This window comes from Homo sapiens, chromosome 6, assembly GCF_000001405.40.
Source record: "Homo sapiens chromosome 6, GRCh38.p14 Primary Assembly".
Classification (NCBI taxonomy): Eukaryota; Metazoa; Chordata; class Mammalia; order Primates; family Hominidae; genus Homo; species Homo sapiens.
Window position 1 is genome coordinate 20,007,391 of NC_000006.12, and position 22,529 is coordinate 20,029,919.

General features: G+C 42.5%; 1 annotated feature.

Moving 5' to 3' along the window:
• Positions 20,900–21,400: an enhancer, noted in NCBI's record as "H3K4me1 hESC enhancer chr6:20028521-20029021 (GRCh37/hg19 assembly coordinates)". NCBI's record gives its function as "activates a minimal SCP1, AML or CMV promoter by ChIP-STARR-seq in naive H9 embryonic stem cells {active_cell/tissue: H9 hESC(naive)}" and the evidence as "EXISTENCE:reporter gene assay evidence [ECO:0000049][PMID:30033119]".

A 22,529-nucleotide genomic window follows, 5' to 3' on the forward strand; every position in this document is an offset into this window, starting at 1 on the left:
AGCTCTATGCCCTTGTCATCTGTAGCAAATTCTTCTCCAGCCCTATTGCCACCATTATGGGTCCACGTTCTCAGTATCTAAATATTAAATCTCCACAAGAACCTTATAAAGATCTCCTTGGCTAATTCTGTCCTCCCAGACCCGTCCTACTTGACAGCGCTAGATTACTTATCCTAAAACCCTTTTGAATCATTTTACATGTAAAAGAGATGACTTGCTTGGGGGTAGTATGAATGAGTTCATGCCGATGCACCTGCGTTTGCTTATACAGAGGATCAATATATTTTCTACCTTTGTACGGATTAGGCGAGAGTAACAACTTAATTTACTCCGGACACCTCTATTAAGGACTCACTCAATCCCAGGGTTACTTTAAGCAGATTTTCCAAAACCTCTATCTCTATTTTCAGATCCACCTATTGGTTGGGCCGAAGGAGCCATCCATTCTTATTAACTCAAAACCTTTTGTTTCCTCATCACTTTCTTCACAAACAGCATCAAAAACTTGTCATGCTCTGATCTAACCTTTTCTCAAACCAGTGTTTTTGTTTTTGTTTTTTCAAAATAGCTAGAAGAAAATAATTTACATATTTTCAAAATAAAGAAAAGACAAATATTTAAGATGAAGGCTATTCCAATTACACTGACATGATCTTTACAAATTATAAGAATGTATAAATTTATCATGTAACCCCAAAATATATACATCTATTATGTATCAATAAACATTTTAAAATCAAATTAGTGTTTTTAGTCCCACATCTAAATAGCTAGTCAGAGGCACTCATGTGCTTGTATTTCTTCACCATCTCTCTTCACTATTCTTGAGAATAGACTATAGTTATCTGTTCTGCCAAACATCAGAGACACACTGTCTCCTTTGGAGGGTCATCTCTAGGTCATTCTCATGAAAGGAGGGAGTTCAGTTGAAGTGAATGTGACAGCCAGGGAGCTGGTCTCAAAATAAAATGAGTCCCTGGGGTCAACTCACCAGGGTGCCTGTAAGTGTCTACAGAAGCAAAAAAAAAAAAAAAACAAAAAAACAAAAAAAGTTTCTTCAAGGACAGAGATAGAGTTGGCAGCGAGGGTCCTTCAGATGAATGCCCCCTACTCTGCAGCCTGTGACCTCTGCCTCTCCACAGACAGTGTCTGAAGGGGTCATCACCCATGCTTTCACAACGGAAGACACAGACTTTTCCAGTTCCCAGAAGAATGTGTGGCTGGGGCGTGAGTGTCCTCCAAGTTCATTACCCTGTCTCTTCTGTCTCCAGCCCCTCACAATTCGGGTACAGGGGGAGGGTCTAACTAATAAATTTGAGTCATACAACCTTCTGAAAATGCTAATGAGAAAGAGTAGGGCCCCAGGAAGCATCAAAATGCTGACATGATTAGGGATGTGTTTGAACCTGTGCAAAGCAATGTGGCATATTTATCAGGCAGTCTTCCAAGCATGCTGGGTCTCCTTGAAGATGCAACAAACACATGTGCTTCTGGAGATCAGACTCTTGTGTTTAATGGCAAGATTATTTTAAGTTTCTTTTGCTTCCCTAGCTCCTGCTACAAGTTGACCAAGGAGGTACACATGTGCTTTTTCTTCGGAATTGGTTTCTTTAGGAAGGAATGCTAACAAGGCAAGAAAGTCAGTGATTAACTCTGCTTTCTTTTAGTTCTTCTTTGCTTTAAATGCTTCATTCACACTTTGCTCATTTCCTGCCTTCACTCCTTTCTTGCTCAAGCCATTTTCCATCGTCTCACAGAATCACAGAACTTAGAATTGGGCAGCACCTGGGAAGCCAACCCAACTGCCTCACTGCACAGAAAAGAAAACTGAAGCCCAGTGAAGTGAAATGCATTGCCCCAAATCCCACTTCTAGAGAGCAGCAGCCTGCCCCACAACCAGAATGCCCTTGTCACCATCCAGCACCATCCAGGGGAGCATCCAGCACAGCTTTCCTGACTGCTCTTTGCTCTGCATCTCCCTCAGCACCTTAAAGTCTGTGTGACCCAGACGTCAGTGATGAATGGGAACACAGTGACAGGATGGATTCCTGCTCTGTTTCACAAATCAGAGCAAAAACAAACTCGCACCTTGGACAGGCCCCAGAAATCCTCTCAGTCTGCACTCTCCCATTCCCAGCTTCTCAGGCTTCTAAGCAATCCTCAGGCAGAGTAGTATGTTTTGTACAGAACTCAATGATAAGTTATGTGTTTTTCTTAAAGAAACCAGATTATCCCCTCTTCATCCTCCCTTTCAAGCCAACAGAATATATATGTGCATATATATATACATACATACATACATATATATATACACATACATACACACACACACACACACACACACACACACACACACACATATATATATACTTTTTTTGTGTGAGATGGAGTCTCGCTCTTATTGCCCAGGGTGGAGTACAGTGGCCCAATCTCGGCTCACTGCAACTTCCGCCTCGTGAGTTCAAGCTATTCTCCTGCCTCAGCCTCCCAAGTAGCTGGGATTACAGGCATGTGCAACACCACCTGGCTAATTTTTGTATTTTTAGTAGAGATAGGGTTTCACCATGTTGGCCAGGCTGGTCTCGAACTCCTGACCTCAAGTGATCCACCTGCCTTGGCCTCCCAAAGTGCTGGCATTACAGGTGTGAGCCACCACTCCCAGCCATGTGCATACATTTTTATAGACAATGATAGGAGAGCAGAGTGGCTAAAATCTTGGGGCTCTGGAGTAAGATCAGAGCTCAAATTCTAGTTCTGCCACTTACTAAGTGGGTGACTTTAGATAAATTGTCTTCTCTCTTACGCTTCCATTAGCCCCTCTACAATGAGATGATAATAGCTATACCTACTTCAGTAGGTTGTCAGGAGAGCTGATGAGAACTTATATGTGTGTGGCACAGTACATCTGTGTAGACACGCACACAGGCAGATACATGCACACCCCCAAGTATATAAATCATTTAGTACAGCTCCTGATGCCAATGTTCAGCAAAGGCTAATCATGATTATATTTATAAAACTAAAAATGTCAGACCTTATTATTCATCCATCTAATTGGTTTACTGCATAGACTAAAATCCACGGGGAACAAGAAGGAGGTGGCTTTTAATTTCTTTCGAAACCACAGCTTTCAAAAACACTCTTTGAAATACCTCCTCTCCTCGCCCTGAGAACCTCTCAGCTGCAAATCCTTTTAGCCATCTGTCCCACTCAGAACAGTCCCATTTTAATAGTTAGGACTCACTTTCTGGCTTTAGAATGTTCATGTTCCTCCAACTCCCATTCTGAGCCTACCCTCTCCACCAGCCCAGCCTGACCCTTGGCTCCTGGACCTGCACTTTCTTCTCTCACCCTGCTCTTCTAGAGGTTCCCCTTTGGCTTTTACCTCATTACTCCTCAAATTCTCTTCTTCCATGAATTCTAGGATTTTGCTTAAATGGGCTACATCTACAGTTGGTGGAGTGAGGGTTACAAGATAAGCCTGGTGATTCTTAGTCCCTAAAATGGGATCTTGGCAGCCCCGTGGCTGCTGTCCTATGAAGCAGAGGTGCTTGGATCTACTGTCCTCACCTTTAGGGTGTTGAGCAAAAACCTAAGGCAACAGGAAACGTCCCACTTCATACCCTGTCACACGTGTTTCTTCTGGGCACCAGATGAAAAGGAATGCTTCTCTGTGAGGGCTAATGCAGTTCTTTCTGGGTAGCTCTAGGGGACAGAGACCACAAACCTCCGTTTCCTATGAAAGATGGCAAAGGGAAGCAGGAAGAGTTGGAGAGTTTCAGCCTTTGACTGAGCCCCATCACTGTCTGACTTTTGCTGCCTCAGGTGTTTCTTCCAACCTAATACTAACCCATTACACAGCAGAAATCTCTGAACACATTGTTAATCTGTTAGGATAGTCTGGGATGTGTAATAAGAAATGGCTTCATGCTTTAATGATCCCAGTGTTTGATGCAATTCATATGTGTATGAAGTACTGCCACCATCATGGGTACCATCTGAGCATCTCCCAAAATAAGAGCATCTTTTGTTCATTCATTCGTTCATTTATTCAACACATATTTATTGTTTACTATGTGCCAGATTTGGGGGCTAAAACAGGGATCAAGATGAATAAAGTCCATGATACAGCTAAGAGATAGTTCATGATGATAGAGCTCAGTGAACTCTTAGTCTAGAGTCGGACAATAAACTAATAAATAAATCATTGTAAATGGTGAGAAGGAAATAATCAAGGAGTTGCTGCTATAGAGGATGATGCGAAGACCTACTTACATATAGTTAAAGGGGATGGTATTAGATTGATGCAAAAGTAATTGTGGTTTTCGCCATTACTTGAAAGTTTTTGCCATTACTTTCAATGTAATGGCAAAAACCACAATTAATTTTACACCAATCTCATATTTAAGCTGAGAGGTTACAGAAGGAATGCCCAATGACAGGGAGGGGTGAAGGAATTCCAGACAGAGGTTTCAGTATGCACAAAATCCAGAGGAAGAAACGCAGTTAGCCTGCTTGAGAAACTGAAGGAAGAATCATGTGGCTGGAGCACAGTAAGAGACAGTGGAGAGCTATGGAGAAGGCCAGATGGGCAAGGTCTTACAAATCATGGAAAGGTATGGAAGCCTTTCCAGGTAAGGCATGTAAGCAATGATTTAAGTCTAAGTGCAATGGTAAGCCAGAGCTGGGTTTTAAATGAGGGGAATTTCTTATCTTGCTTTTGGACATTGTAGCACGATAAATGGTGCCCCCTCCCCCAAACTATTATGTCAAAGTCCTAACTTCCAGAACCTGTGAATGTGACCTTATTGAGAAAAAGGGTCTTTGCAAATGAAATCAAGTTAAGGATCTCAAGATTAGACCATCCTGGATTAACCAGGTGGGCCCTAATCCAATAGCAAGTGTTTCATAACAAACAGAAGAGAGGGCAGACAGAGAAAGGAGGCCACATGAAGACAGAGGCAGAGATTGGAGTGACGCAGCCACAAGCCGAGGAACGCCTGGAGCCACCAGAAAATTGAAAAGGCAAGGAAAGATTCTTCAGAGCCTTCAGAGGGAGCATGGCTCTGCCAACATCTCAATTTTTGCCCTCCAGCCTCCAGAACCATGAAAGAATAAATTACTAGTGTTTCAAGCCACCCAGATTGTGGTATTTTGTGATTGCAGCCCTAGGAAACTAACACAGACACCACTGAAAACTGGCAGCTTCTGCTGAGCCACCTCAGAGTGCTGATGTTGGAGATTTGGCAAGTAGTTTGGAATTCAACCATAGGAGGTTAGAACTGAGAATCTGATAAAGATCTTCCCAAAGCCACAAAACTGTATCTCTATTTTACCCAAGTTAAGAACTTTTAATCCATCACCTGCCTTGTGCCATACTACTGGGCAATTGTGAGAGAATTCATTCTCTTAGGGACACCAACAATAATAGCACTGTGTGTGTGTGTGTGTGTGCATGTGTTGTATATGTGTGTATGTGTGTGTTGTATATGTGTGTATGTGTGCCAGCATGCATGTGTGTACCCATGCAGGAGCATATGTGGGTATGTCTGACTACGTGTTCACTTGTGCATGAATTTTGGTAGAATCTGAAGGAATTGGACCTGCATTTTCATTCACCACTTTGGCCACTAGCGAGAGTTCCCTAACAGGAATGTCTCTTCAGTGGGCAGCAGGAGGCAAGTGGACCAGAACAAAGGAGAGAGAACATAGGACTGAACCATCCCCAGCAAGAGAGGCAAATCACTAACCGTTAGTCTCTCCAGCGTAATAACTTGAAAGGACTTGCCATCTCATGCTTTCCCCACTGTTTCATTTGTCTTCTTTTATAGCGTTCTTTCTTCTCCTCCTCCGCTTCAGACGATATTCAGTTTAATGGCTGAATTGAAATCGACCATGAAAAGAATCCAAGCAAATGAGCTCAGACCGTTGCACAAAAGAGAAAGTGGAGGAGGGAGAGGAATGAGATGAGGGGGAATGTGTAGGAACGATGCTATAGAAAGAGGAGGTTTTGGCTCCAACACTGTTGCCATAGGCAGAGTGTCCCCATACAGCTCAGCTGTCTTCACAAAGATGGTTTTTGCTTCACCCAATAGTCATTTTTGTCAGATCTCCATCTCCGGCCTGGGACTGAATACCACAGTGCACAGAAGAGGCATGCCAGAACTGGAGGATTCCCCATCCTGGAAACAAGGCCAGCGCTGTTGCATCCTGTGGCAAAAGCACAGACCAAAAAAATGCTGCTCGGTCAACCCCTCTCATTCTGTTCAGGCCACTGGACACAGCTTTTGCCAGCTCCAAATTCACTTTTTGTCCAAAGAATCAATACACCTATTGAGAGGGTGTCCAGGAATGGCCTTTCCTCTGTCCCTTTCTGGTGCCGCCAGGCAGAAAGCCCAGCAGGCTCTGTTTTGTTTCCTGAGCTCCAGCCACGGGAGGACTGGACCACATGGGGACCCCCAGCCCCCTGCCCTGCTTGTCTGCATTCAGCACTCTTGCTCTGCTTCCTTGTCCTCTGCCACAATAGTGGCCCATTTATTGAGCATCCACCTGTGTACAGCACCATGCTGAGTACTGAGAGAAGCAAGATAAAGGGAATAGGAGGTTCAAGTTGCCATAGAATTTCCAAACAGCAGCATCCAGAAACCTGTGTGGATGAAAGATTCTAATCACCAGGTACAACCTACGCGTCTTTTTGGAAGTGGGTCGGGTCTTCTGCCTACAACCTGTAGGTAAACTGTTTTTACACCCTAGTCCTGCAAGTATGTATAGTTAAGGATTGCATAGTGTCTACTCGCTATTTTTTTTTTTGCTTGTTTGTATTTTGGGTGACTTCCCCTTTTTCATTGATTTATATTTCTTTTCAACCCCTCTTCTCTCTAGCGTGACTCCTCAATTTTCAGTGATAAAGACATATCTTTATTCACGGTCATACAAACATATACAAATGTTTGTATTTTCCATTTCTCTTTTTTTTTTTTTTACAAAATGCATTCATATTATATACATTTCCTTGCCCTTTGTCTTCTCACTTAATGCATAATGAACATTCCCCTTAGTTAATGGATATAGTTCTAAGTTCTTTATATTTTTTTACAGGTACATTGTATTCCAAGGTTAGATATACCTCAACGTACTCAATTATTTCTCTACCAATGGTCATTGAGGTTGCTTCCACTACAAATACTGCCACTAGGAACATGGTTACTTAAAAGTCCTTGTTCATATATACTTAAATCTTGAGTTTGTGTTTCTACAGGATAACTTCCTACCAGGAGCATTCCTAGGTCAATTACACATATTTGCATTGAAATAGACACTGCAAGCTTGTTTTCCAAAAGACAGGCAGTGTTTCTCATTCCCACCAGCAAGAAAAGAGAATGCCCTTTTTGGACCTCCTAGCCCACAGAGGTTTTAGTGTTATTTCATCCCCTTTCCTCCCTGTCCCCCCACAAACCTAAAGCTGTGGTCCCTAAGCTGGAAACATGCATGTTGTGCAGTCAAAAGCTACATCCATGCAGTCACCTGAGAAATGTATTTCGATAATGATTGTGCTGTACGACTAAGTAATATTTACTTATTTCTCTGGTGGCTGCTTAGGCAAATGTACTTGACTCTCTTTTCACATGCCTGATTTCCAGAAAACTTTTATGCCTCAAGTAGCAAATCTGGGGAATAAATTTTTACCTGGATGAGACATGTTGAGCAAACCATTAATCCAAAATTTTGGACTTACTTAATTCTACCTAGTTAAGACAATTTTTTTTTTGTAAAAATTATCCTAGTGAGTCATTCAAGAATGTTGTTCTTCTCAAATAAGTATTGATGAGTGAATTTTACAGATGTGTTCAAGGATGATGCACTCATTTCTTTAAAAAACTCATAGCATAAATTAAACTGGAACAGCTTTTACACCTTATTATTATGAAATGTCCTTTTTATTTCTGCTTATATAGTCTTAAACAAAAATGCATAAACAGGTATTTGAGAGTTCCTAAAGAAAATGCATTAAGTGGTTTTGCACCAACAACTGTAACACAATAGAGTTTACACACAGGAAAATCCATCTTTTCATGTCAAAAAGTTCAACTACTCCAACAAATTCCAGTAATTCTGAGCTTTGAGAATAATCTTAATCAAAACAGAAACCTTGACTTTATGTTATCTATATTCAATGTGGGCTCCCTTAGACTTTCAAGCAAAAATTTCTACTCCACTGAATGGTGGCCCCATAATTTACATCTGGTGCTGGTCAGAGGAGATGGGATGGTTTGTCTGTGGGCCTGACCATTACACCTCAGGGACAGGCCCAACTTGTCCAGGGCTTCTCCATGCAGCTGGTACCAACATTCCTATTTATTTTCTAAGTCTATTATTTTTTAACATATATTAAGGCTAAAGACACATCCTGGCAAATCTTATAATTAACAAAGTAATTAGTTATATGGTCATAATAACCAAACCAACAAACTTATTCATTTATTTCTAATTACAAGTCTAATTTGGAAATGACATTTGTTTGCATTTCATGTTTGCATTTTAATTGTTATATTTCATACCAGGAACCATGAGGAATAGATACTTTCTTGATGGAATTTAGACTGCGTTTCCCTTTCTAATCCTGAAATCCCCTCTATGGTACTTCCACGAGGTGGTCTCCAGCTAGGGCTTGAATTCTTTTTTTCTTTTCTTGAGACAGAGTCTTGCTCTGTTGCCCAGGCTTGAGTTTCAGTGGCATGATTTCAGCTCACTGCAACCTCCACCTCCGGGGTTCAAGAGAGTCTCATGCCTCAGTCTCTCGAATAGCTGGGACTACAGGTGTGCACCACCACACCCAGCTATTATATTTTTAGTAGAGACGGGGTTTCACCACGTTGGCCAGGCTGGTCTTGAACTCCTGACCTCAGGTGATCCACCCGCCTCAGCCTCCCAAAGTGCTGGGATTACAGGCATGAGCCACCGCCCCCGGCCTAATGACAGAGAATTTGCTACCTCATTATTTGCCATAGTTTTAATGAGCTAGTATTTACTGTCTTGTATCCCCATTGAGGGCTAAAACTTATGCATAATCTTCTTTCCACGTAAGAGCCTGCATGAGTGACATCAAGAGGCAACACTTATGCATATTATTAAGAAAACTTCAGTGGACCTGTGTAAGGTTATTTTGTGGTAATATCTTAGAACTTCAGAATATGAGGCCACTAGGCCACAAAGATACACTAAGTCCACAAAGTTTCACAAAGACTTTGTCTCAGAATGTGGCTTCTCTGCTTTGTGTTGCTCTGTGATGGACACGGATGTAGCCTCTAACATCTCAGTGTCTCTGGCTTTCTCTTACTGTGTCTGTCTTTATTTTTCCTGAGCCTTTCTCTTTTTTCACTGTATTTTCCTCCTCTTTCTTGCTCCCTTCATTCTTGAACTTCAGTACCCAAGATTAAAAGATTTCCCCAAATCAAGATCAGATTCATTGAGGCAGAACTGGGATTTGAAGCAGAGTTTAAAAAAAAAAACAGAGACAGAGACATCTAAAGTAAAGTGAGGTTAATACCATTAAAACTTGGGTTTTTCAAACAACAACAACAACACACACAAACAAGACTTGGAAAAGAGAAAACATAAGCTGTTTGACAGCAGGCTTTGATGCTGATTTTACAAGATGTAAATTCTGCCCAGCACATAAAATAAGTGAGAATAAACTATTCTCTAAGCAGCCCTCTGAGGGTCATACGTGAAACAGGACTGGGAGAAAGCACAGCAGCCCTGACATCACAGATGAAATAAAATGTGTGTTTTCCAGCTGTCTCATTCGTGGCTCCAACAAGAGAGACAACTCTGTATACCCCAAAAGGCCCAGCCAGCAGCAGGGCAGGCAAGGCCCAGGCTCCTTCAGGCCCAGGACATCCTTCCTTAGATCTGGCCCTCTCAGCCCTGTTAGAGCACAAAATGCACCAGACATTTGTTTTGATGATAGACATAATTTGGTAAAAGAATTCAGACTCTGATGTAGAACCAGGCAGTCACGGGAGAAGTTGCGTTGCAGGTGAGCACATGCTGTCATTATCAGAGTGACTTTTTTTTAACCTGTTACTAATAAGCATAGGGGCGTGTGTGTGTTTAATGGTTTCATTTTACTCAAGACAAGATATTTTTCACAAATCTCCAGAATGGAATCATACTCGCTTACAATACTAAAACCAAGAGATAAAAACATTTTATAGCCTTTCAATCAGCGCAAAAGGATAATAACAAAGAATGTGAATGCTATATTCACATTTACAACTTCTTAACAAAGCAGATATTTTGGGAATCTTCATTCATTTCATTTTACAGAATTCATTATGTTTAAACTTTAAGACAGTGATATCTACATGAGAAATATTTACCGTAGACCAGGTATTTGCTAGATATTACCTCTTTGGACTGAACACTCCATAAAGGCAGGGACTAAGCTGAATCTGCAAATCCAACCCTGAGCGCAGTGTTCAGAGAACATATTCACTCCAATATTAGGTCAATAACTGTGTTAACTGATTTCATATTCAGAAACCCTTAATGTAGGTATTTTTACCTTTATTTTATAGATGTTGAAACAAGTTTCAAGCAGTAGTTTAATGCCCTATTCAAGGGCACACAGCTAATCAGTGAGACACGTAACATTTGACCATCTTTACTCAAGATGCCAAACCCCAAGTGAGATCAGAATCCTCACGTTACTAGTCCTCAATAACACAGTACATGCCTTGACAGAATTTAGTATCAATGGCAGATGGTAATGGTCACTATTACAGGGTGCCATTGCATGGTATGAATATCTGCAAGAGAGAAGCTGATGTTCCTTATCATTGTCCTTGCTGTCCCCCAAAACAAGATGGTTTTAGGGTACTTACCATAATTGCCCTCTGAGGCTTTGCTAGCATCAAGTTCAAGTCCAGAAATAAGCAAGATCCTTGCTGGGAATTTTTCTGATCTCTTTCAAACATCTAAGACCATTTGGGAGGAAATTAAGAAGGCAGTAAGGAAAGCACCTTAGAAAAAGGCAGTGAACAAAGCAAATCTTGAGCAAAAAGAACAAAACGAGAAGCATCACACTACCTGACTTCAAAATGTATTACAAAGCTATAGTAACCAAAACAACATAGTATTGGATAAAAACAGACAGAGACCAATGGAACAGAATACAAAGCCAAGAAATAAATCCACACATTTACAGTCCATTGATTTTCCCAAAGGTACCATGAATACACAATGGGGAAAGGACAGTCTTCAATAAACAGTTGTGTTAGTCACTTTTGCATTGCTATAAAGGAACACTTGAGGGTGGGCAATTTATAAAGAAAAGGGGTTTATTTGGCTCACAGTTTTGCAGGCTGTACAAGAAGCATGGAGCCAGCATCTGCTTTTGGTGAGACCTCAAGAAGCTTTTATTTACAGTGGAATGCAAAGGGGGAGTAGGCATTTCACATGGCAAGCGAGGCAGCAAGAGAAAAAGGAAGAGATGCCAGGCTCTTTTGAACAATCAGATCTCACTGTAACTAACAGAGCAAGAATACATTCGTTACTATGGGAAGGATACTAAGCCATCATGAGGCATGACTCAAACACCTTCTACTAGGCCCCACCTCCAACACTGGGGGTCACATTTCAACATGAGATTTAGAGGGTACAAATATCTAAACTATATCAACAGTGTTGGGAGAACTGGGTATCCACATGCAGAAGAATGAAATTAGACCCTTATCTCACACCATACACAAAATCAATTCAAGATGAATTAGAGACTTAAACACAGACCTAAAACTGTAAAACGACTAGAAAAAAAACACAAGGGAAAAAGTGCATGACATTAGTCTGGCAATGATTTTTGTGCATATGATCCCAGAAGCACAGGCAATAACTACCAAGCTTCTGCACAGCAAAGGAAACAATCAACAGAGTGATGAGACAATCTATGGAATGGAGAAAATATTTGCAAAGTACCCATCTGATAAGAGGTTAATATCCAAAATGTATAAGGATCTCAAACAACTCAATAGCAAGAAAACAACCCAACTGAAAAAATAAGCAAAGGACGTGAACAGATCTTTCTCAGAAAAAGATATATAAATGGTCTTCAGATACATGAAAACATGCTCAACATCACTAATCATTAGGGAAGTGCAAATTCAAACCACAATGCAATATTACTTTACACCCATTAGAATGGCTATTATCAATAAGACAAAAGATAACAAGTATTGGAGAGGTTGTGGAGAAAAGGGCACTCTTGCACACTGTTGGTGGGACTGTAAATTACTACAGCCATCTTGGAGAACAGTATGGAGGTTCCTCAAAAAATGAAAAATAGAATGATTTTATGATCCAGCAATCCCACTTCTGGGTATATATCCAAAGGAAATAAAATCAGCATGTCAAAGAGATATCTGTACTCCCATGTTTATTGGCCCACTAGTCACAATAACCAAGATATGGAAACAACCTAAGTGCCCATCAACAGATGAATGCATAAAGAAAACATGTAATACAGACACAATGGAATACCATTCAGGATTTACGAAGGGAAATTAGGCCAGGTGTGATGGCTCACGCCTGTAATCCCAGCACTTTGGGAGGCCGAAGGGAGCAGATCACCTGAGGTCAGGAGTTCGAGACCAGCCTGGCCAACATGGAAAAACCCCATCTCTACTAAAAATACAAAAAATAGGGCCAGGCGCGGTGGCTCATGCCTGTAATCCCAGCACTTTGGGAGGCCGAGGCGGGTGGATCATGAGGTCAGGAGATCAAGACCATTCTGGCTAACACAGTGAAACCCCATCTCTACTAAAAATACAAAAAATTAGACGGGTGTCGTGGCAGGCGCCTGTAGTCCCACCTACTCGGGAGGCTGAGGCAGGAGAATTGCTTGAACCTGGGAGGCGGAGGTTACAGTGGGCCAAGATTACACCACTGAACTCCAGCCTGGACGACAGAGTCAGACTTGTCTCAAAAAAAAAAAAAAATTTAGCCGGGCATGGTGGCGGGTGCCTGTAATCCCAGCTACAGGGGAGGCTGAGGGAGGAGAATAGCTTGAACCCAGGAGGTGGAGATTGCAGTGAGCTGAGATTGTGCCACTGCACTCCAGCCTGGGTGACAGAGCAAGACTCCATCTCAAAAAATAAAATTAAATTAAAAGTAAAACAAAATGAAAAGGGAAATTATGTCATTTGTGACAATGAACCTGGAGGGCATTATATTAAGTAAAATAAGCCAAGCACAGATAGACAAATACCGCATGATCTGACTTATGTGTAGAATCTAAAAGAGTTGAACTCATAGAAGTGGAAATGAGAATGGTGGTTGCCAGGAGCTGGAGGGAAGTGGGAGGGAGAGATGATGGTCAGAGTACAAAGTTTCAATTATACAGGAGGAATAAGTTCAAGAGATCTATTGTACAACATGGTGACTATAGTTAACAACAATGTATTGTATTCTTGAAAATTGCTGAAAGAGTAGACTTTTTAAATTATCAGTATTATTTATTCTGCTTTTGAAATTATAAAATACTTAGCGCTAAGAAGTAGGAAACAAACATATTAATTTAAAGGTGTGGTCCAATGACCACTTACTGTATAAATTCTCAGGACTCTTATTTAAAATGCAGTCTTTCTTAAAAGTATAGATTTTAAACATTCTCAACACACAAAAAAAGTATGTGAGGTAATGTATATGGTAATTAGCTCAATATAGCCATTCCACAATGTATGCATATTTCAAAATAACATGTTGTATGCGGTAAATATATACAATTTTCATATGTCCATTTAAAAATAGGTTTTTGGGGCTGGGTATGGTGGCTAACGCCTGTAATCCCAGCACTTTGGGAGGCCAAGGTGGGTGGATCACCTGAGTTCACGACTTTGAGACCAGCCTGGCCAACATGATGAAACCCTGTCTCTACTAAAAATACAAAAATTAGCCGGGCTTAGTGGTGTGCACCTGTAGTCTCAGCTACTGGGGAGGCTGAGGCAGGAGAATTGATTGAACCTGGGAGGCGGAGGTTGCAGTGGCCCAAGATTGTGCCACTGCACTCCAACTTGGGTGACAGAGCAAGACTCTGTCTCAAAAATAAATAAATAAATAAAAGGAATGAAAAAAGGCAATGAGAAGTAAAAATGGAAAAGTACCAGTTCAAGCATGGCAGCCAAACATCCAAAGACTATCATTTGATAAAAGATTTACCTGAATTAACAGAGCTTTCTTGACATTGATTAGGGTGGTGAAAATGACTGTGGAGGAAAAATTAAGTAGATGATTCTATTTAGGGAAGAAAAGGTGGGAGAAGTGGCATAATAGTCTTCAGGTACCCAAGAAGATAACATATTCATCATTCCCACGGACAGCAAAAATTGAAAAAGGCGAAGGGGAAATAAATCTATCCTGAGGCAGGAGGCATTAAGATTGCCAATAAGAAAACCTAATTTCATCAGTACCCTGGTGATTCTCAACCTGCTTGGGCTTGTCCTTGTTTTTGTTTGTTTTTATGGCAGAGTTTTGAAAATCACCCAAGAGGAAAAAAGACTGGGTGACATGTGTACACACACATTAAAATTAATGTGAATTGGAATTAATTTTGTTGATAGTGTCCCAGCCAGAGTTTTAATGCCAGACTCTGGTTGGTGGGGCAGGAGGGCTTTATGGGGAGGGACATTTGAGATAAGGATGTCCAATGTGTTTTTGTGCCTGAGCTATCACATTTATAGTGGGGCTTTGTAGACAATTCCAGCTCACCCCAACAGTAATTGTTGTCTAGCTTCCACTCACTCCAGGACCTAGCACCTGCCCTTCTGGCAAAGCAAAGCCTCCATGTGCTGTGGGTTTCCTGTGGAAGTCAATTTCCCACTGCTTGAATGTGCCAGGAGGGAGCAAGGTTTTCAGGAAACAGCCCAGACCAGAATCAGGAGAACGTGTGTTCAGAATCTCTGCTCTTCTCTTGGCTGTATGACCTCGAGCAAGCTATGTAGCTTCTCTGAGCCTCAGTCTCCTCAACTGTATAATAGGAAAATAATACCACCTTTATTGTGATGTGAGAATTGCAGGAGAACAAGCACAGAAAAAGGCAGGAGTGTGGAGAACACTTAGATGTTAGCTACCTTCCCTCATCCTCCCCCGCTCCTATTAAGTTACCCATGGGGTCACCGTAGTATAAGGATGACCACTAGCAGATGGCAGTGTCCTCAGGGCTCTGAGATCTTCATTTGCCCTTTTAAAATGAAAATAAAATACCTGGGTCCTACTTTGCCAAGAAAGGAAGGTGAAAAAAAATCAGTCTTCTTAAAAAGTGCAATGGTTTATACAAAGTATACCTGATCAGAGGTAAAATAGTGTGCATATATGTCCCCACCAAATCTCATGTTGAATTGTAATCCCCAGCATTGGAGGTTGAGCCTGGTGGGAGGTGTTTGGGTCATTGGAGCAAATCCCTCATGGTTTGGTTCTGTCCTTGTGACGGTAAGTTCTTTAGAGTCTGGTTGTTTAGAAGGGCATGACACCTCCCCCACCATGCTCTCTCTGGCAGCTGCTCCCACCATGTAAGACACCTGTACCCGCTTTGCCTTCTGCCATGGGTAAAAGCTCTCTGAGGCCTTCCCAGAAGCCATGCAGATGCCAGTACCATGCTTGTACAGCCTGCAGAACTGTGAGCCAATTCAACCTCTTTTCTTTATAAATTATCCAGTCTCAGGTATTTCTTTATTGCAAAGCAAGAACAGCATAATACAAGATGATTTTTTTTTTTCTCTTAGAGACAGGGTTTGGCTCTGTCACCCAGACTGGAATGCAGTGGAATGATCACAGCTCACTGCAGCCTCAAATTCCTGGGCTCATGTGATCCTCCCATCTCAGCCTCCTGAAGAGCTGGGCCTACGGGTGTGCATGACCACATTGGCTATTTAAAAAAAAAGTTTTAGTTGAGACAGGGTCTCACTATGTTGCCCAGGCTTATCTCAAACTCCTGGCCTCAAGCGATCCTCCGACTTCAGCCTCCCAAAGTGCTGAGATTACAGGCATAAGCCACTGAGAGGTGAAGCCAGCTGGGCTTCTGGGACGGGTGGGAACTTGGAGAACTTTTCTGTCTGGCTAAAGGATTGTAAACGCACCAATCAGCACTCTGTGTCTAGCTAATCAGCGGGGGGTTGGGGGGGGACTTGGAGAACTTTTGTGTCTAGCCAAGGCTTTGTAAACTCACCAATCTTCACTCTGTCAAAACAGACCAATCAGCTCTCTGTAAAATGGACCAATCAGCAGGATGTGGGTGGGTCCAGATAAGGGAGTAAAAACAGGCTGCCTGAGCTAGCTGTGGCCACGTGCTAAGTTCCCCTTCCACACTGTGGAAGGGTTGTTCTTTTGGTCTGCGAAGTAAATCTTATTGCCGCTAACTATTTGGGTCCATGCTACCTTTATGAGCTGTAACACTCACCGCGAAGGTCTGCATCTTCACTCCTGAAACCAGCGAGACCACAAACCCACAGGGAGGGATGAACAACTCCGGACACGCCACGTTTATGAACTGTAACACTGACTGCGAAGGTCTGCAGCTTTACTCCTGAGGCCAGCAAGACCACGAACCCACCGGAAGGAACTAACAACTCCACATGCGCCGGCTTTAAGAGCTGTAACACTCACTGTGAAGGTCTGCAGCTTCACTCCTGAAGTCAGCGAGACCACGAACCCACCAGAAGGAACTAACAACTCCACATGCGCCGGCTTTAAGAGCTGTAACACTCACCGTGAAGGTCTGCAGCTTCACTCCTGAAGTCAGCGAGACCACGAACCCACCAGAAGGAGGAAACTCCGGGCACATGTGAACAGCTGAAGGATTATCTCCAGACACACCATCTTTAATAACCGTAACACTCACCGCGAAGGTCCGCGGCTTCATTCTTCAAGTCAGCGAGACCAAGAATCCACCAATTCCGGACACACCACCACACCTGGCTTGAGGGTTGGTAATTAAAAATACCTTTCAGGTTTGAGCTGGAGGACTGACTACCACCACAAACTACCCATCCCCCCTCCTCGGGAGGAAGACGACTTCACATAGATACTAAGCTGCCCGCACTGGGATGTCTGAGGTGTTTGGCAGAAAATGAGTCCAGAAGTTTATTTCGATTTATCCCAGGTGCACTTGTGAGGTGGCCCACTTCCACTCACAGCCAGCCCTGCTTACACGTGCACATGCATTCATACACAGAGGCAGGCACCTTTGATCACAGATGTGGGTGCTTCCATGACACTTCTTCCAGAGGTATCTCAGCAGTGACTGGGTTGCACAAGCATTTCCCTTACCGGATGTTTATAAACGATTCTTTTGCATCTACCACCCCTCAGCATCATGGCTCTGTCCAAAATCAGTTTCCTGATCCTTCACACCAGCATCCTAGAATTCATGTGAGGATAAGTCACCCCCCACACTCACTAAATATTTGTCAAATCTGAATATGCCGATTGCTTAATCAGGCAAAGGCTCCACATGCTTTCTAAGTATGAGGCTCCCTTCTTAAATGTCAACTGGCCAGATCCACCTCCAACAGAGTAGTTATACATTTAATCTCTGCTGATTAAGCCTAAATATGACAAAGAAATATAAATTTACATAATCACAAAAGCATCTATATACAGTTTATAAATTGGGAGAAGGGATGATCTTATTTGTATTCAGTCTATGCACAATGCGTGGTATACCTGTGGGGTCTTAGATTCCCTTGAAGTAATTTTAAGTCTTCCTAGGGATCTGCCACCTACCGGCTGAGAACTGCTCATGTAGCGTGCATGTAATTGTGGGGTTGCTGCTTGCTCCGTGCATCTAAAACAAAAATACAGCGTGAAATCAGTAGAAAGGAACCTGCCTGAAATGATGTGGGCTGAATTATTGTGGCCCACGTTCAAGAGGCCAAGCTCTTAACTGTTCTGGATCCACTGGGGATGATAATACTGTCTCTTTCTCACTGTGCAATGCAAGTAACATAAGCCTTCTTAATTAATGGACACAGCAAGCTTTAAAAAATTAAATACGGTAAATTATCAGTAGACTCACAGTGATGTTAACCTGACTTGAACTCAGAATCTAAACTTGGTTTCAATTTGGCTCATATTTGTCAGTGTTTCTAGGCAGCCTAATTTGGTTTAGATGTTTATTTTTAATTTGGTTCTGGATAGCACTGTGGGATGAACATATTTCCCAAAAGGAAACAAATAATGTTAATTCCAAGGGACTTCACACTTAGCTGCAATGCATTCTCTAGAATACAAGAGATAGTAAAGGGAGCTGAAAATTTGTGTCTATTTTTTCCTTGCCACTCAGTAAAAACTCATTGTGAGGTGGCTTCAAACCCTTTTCCAGGCTCACAAAGCCCTGGTCTGGCCCCTGTTGGTATCTCTCCTGCATTTTCCAATAGGTCCTGCCTTGCTGCGTGTACTCTAGCCATACTGTTCCCCCTTCATTTCTTCATGCTCACAATGGTCCCTCCTACCCCAGGGCCTTTGCACATGCTCCTCGCATATCTTCTTCCATTTCACCCTCTTATCTCCTCCTCATCCTTGAGAACTCAACTCAGGAGCATGTGTCTCTCAAGAAGTTTTCTCTGAAATCCCTAGTGTGGTCAAATCCCTCCTTCCTCTCCAGTATAGCTTCTCCTAACACCTATATCTCTAGCCTTCTTTGCACTTTTCATAGTTTCTACTTTACATTTGTTTGTGCAGTTTTTTGGATGTCTCCCACACTGAACTCCAAATTCCACAAGAGCAGAAACCGTATCTATATTTGTTTACCACTGTTTCCCCAATTCCTGAGACATTGCTTGGGGAGTATAAGACAGCCTCAATAACATGAGGTGCCTCATTCATTTGCTGAATGAACAAATCAAATATATATTGTTATTTTTATATTTTAATAATCATAATTGATAAAGCGAAAGGAAAAAAGTAATACTGAGATATCCTAGTATAGCTAGAGGCAAGGTGGCATGATGGAGAGACTGGATTTTAGAGCAGGAAAAATTAATAATGAGTGTTTTTCAGCTACATGACATTGGGACAATTATTTAACCTCTCTGAGCCTCAGTTTCCCATCTGGTAAATTATAATAATAATGTCTATCTCAAAATATTGTTGTGAAAATTAAATAAGATACAGAAGAAAGAAAAATTGATTGGCTTCCTTCCATTGATTATGTTCTTATATTTTGCTTTGCAAAAGACAAAGTGTGAAATTTGGTAGGACATTAATAGCCAAGGGGACCAGCCTAGCTAGCCAGTGTTCAGAGATCCCCTTCTAACACATTCTACTTCTCCTGGTAGCAGAACGATCAGGTTTTCAATAGCAGGATATTGGATAAGCTTTTTTTTTTTTTTTTTTTTTTTTTTTTTGAGATGGAGTCTCGCTCTGTCACCCAGGCTGGAGTGCAGTGGCGCAATCTCAGCTCACTGCAACCTCCACCTCCCAGGTTCAAGCAATTCTCCTGCCTCAGCCTCCCAAGTAGCTGGGATTACAGGCGTGTGCCACCACGCCCAGCTAATTTTTGTATTTTTAGTAGAGACGGGGTTTCACCATGTTGGTCAGGCTGGTCTCGAACTCCTGACCTCATGATCTGCCCGCCTCGGCCTCCGAAAGTGTTGGGATTACAGAAGTGAGCCACCGTGTCCAGCCCGGGATGAGCTTTCTAAAGACAGACGTACCTCCAGAGCTAGGTGCCATATGATAGGTTTCTCCCTTAATTTAAAGACACTTTGGAACAACTGATTATCAGCAGCCATTTTTATAGATGAACCATCATGGCTTTCAACAGCATGTCTTCATTTATCTCTGTTTCCGTCTTTCTAAGTTAATGTGTCATTTTGGAAAAAGTTTCAAAATAGCTTTGGAAACAACTTTAAAATAGCATCCAGCGATTCCATTTATTTTTAAGTCCGCAAACAGGCCAAACTAACCCAGGCTTGTCGAAAGCAAGGGCAGTGGTGACTCGGAGGAGGGGCTGTGGCCAGAGGGAGCAAGAAGGGGCTGGGGGTGTGCTGTTTATTGAGCTGGGTACTGGTGACTTTCTCTCTCCCGCTATCCAGCCTTTCCCTTCTCTTTCCAATCCTAATCTCTGCAGGAGCACATGTGCACACACATACACACAAACACACACACACTTGTCTTTCAGTCACTCACTGTGATGGCCTGCCAGCTTCTGGTACTCACATCTAACCCCACTTGTTCACAACTCTATAATTTGTCAAAACCCAGACTCTGGAAGTTTCTCCTGTCCTTAGTAAAAATAATTTGTTGTAAAATCTTTAATAACTTCATATCTCAGACCTTCAGTATTCCCTTCCTATACACATACACACACACACTCTCTCTCTCTCTCTCTCTCTCTCTCTTACTCCATCTACCTGGTCCCTCTCCTGGTCCCTCTCGCTAGGATGCAGGCTCTACAGAGCTAGGGATCTTCCTGTCTTATCACCTCTTCCCTTCCGCACCTCCCTCTGGTCCAGCAGTATGTGTGGCACATACTAGGTACATGGTTGATAGTTACTGACTCGGGGAAGAACTGAATAAACATCAAACCCTGTTTTATTCTTGACTCTACTTTTTCTCTCTTACCAAGTCCCCACCCTGTACCCAGGTCTAATATGATGCGTCCTTTCCGGATCCCTGCCTTAACGATCTACCTGTTACACTTTTCTCCCGAGCCTGGTCCTTGACTCACTCTGCCAGCCCCATGAGAGAATTTGACCCTGCTCCACCCTAGCAGCCCTCCCATCTGCTGCCAGTCCTCCAGGAGCTAACTCGGGCCCAGGGTGACACACATGGCCTGTCCCCTCACTTCCTGTGTTTCACCCCGCCCTCCACAGCCCTGCATCTCCTGACGCCCACCAGGTGCCAGTGCTTCCACCTGCCACCTGCCTCTTACTCCCTCACAGTGGGCCCCACCCACTGGCCAAGATGTTCCGCTCACCCCAGCCCTGTGGGTGTGGCCAGCAGCTTCGCCTGCTGAGTCCCCATCCGGCAGCTCTTAAGGTTCCAGGTCTGGCCAATTCCACCTGCCAAGTATCATTCCCCCCAGCTTCCGTCTTCTCCTCGCTCACCGCCCTAGTTCAGGCCCCATCATTTCTCCTGGACTACAGCAATAGCCTCCATCTAGGCCTGATGCTTTTCTGCTATCCACTGTTTTCCAATTGATCACTGTATTACTTTCACAATTAGAAACATAAGCCAGGAAGACATTTAGTGAGCATATATTTTGTGTAATGTATACCGTTAGCTGAAGATGGTCCAAGACATGGCCTCCAGCCCTCTGGGATTCACAGTCTGTGGGGTGATGACACACTCACAGGGGCTATTTGGCAAGGGTGATGACACACTCACAGGGGCTATTTGGCAAGTGCAATTCAGTGCCAGACGGAAGGAAGGAAGCCCTATGTGCTCACAAGATGAAAACAGATGAGAAAACCAGAGACCAGCAAGGCACCTTGGAGAACAGCAGGATGACATATCACGCTGTAAGCTTCAGCATGGCCAGGACCAGGTCCTCCTGTCCTCTCCAGTGGACACGGATGCCCTAGCAGAGTCCCTCATTCAAAGCAGATGCTCAGTGAATATACAGGGAATGAATGAATGACACTAGTACAACCCCTCTTATTTTGTGTAACAGACATATAAGAGAAAACTGAGGCCCCCAAAAGTTAAATGATTTGCTAAAACACCATAAAACTGGTTGGTGCACAACCAAAGCCCAAATCTGCCTCCCAACCCTGGGCCCTTTCACCCACACTGAATGGCTGACCTTAACCTTTCCTTCTCCGAGCTAATGGCCCCAGTTTATTTTATCTTCCCTTTCCATGTCACTTTTATATCCCTTTAAACATATTCCATAATAAAACAGCAGGATATGCAATTCTTAGCATGAAAAAGAAACTATTAGCACTTTCGAAAAGTTGATTATAAAAATACAGAGCATGATGTTTTTATTTAGAATGCTGCTTTTGTATTTAATTACTAAACATGCAATAGATATAACCGCATATGGTGCCATCTAGCTGGAAAGAATTCTTTACACACTTTGATGTTCTCCCGTCAACTTTTCTCATCTTGACAGGTTATCATGAACTAAAACATGGCATTTTTCCATAAAAGATGTCTGTATCTCTGTAATATACTATATAATCCATTTATTGTGAGCTTTCAAAGCACACACGTAAACATGTTTGTGTATTTTTATTGTAGTAAAGTATATGTAACACATTTTCCATTTTAACCATTTTGACATATGATTCATTGGCATTAAATACTCTGACAATGTTGTACAACCAACAGTACTGTCCATCTCCAGAACTTTTTAATCATCGTCAACAGAAACTCTGAACCCCTTTAATTATAACTCCCTATTCTCCCTCCCTTCAGTCCTGGAAATCATCATTCTATTTTCTGCTTCTGTGGATTTGGCTACTCTAGGTAGCTCATATAAGCGGAATTATACGCATTTGTCCTTCTGTGTCTGGCTTATTTTACTTAGC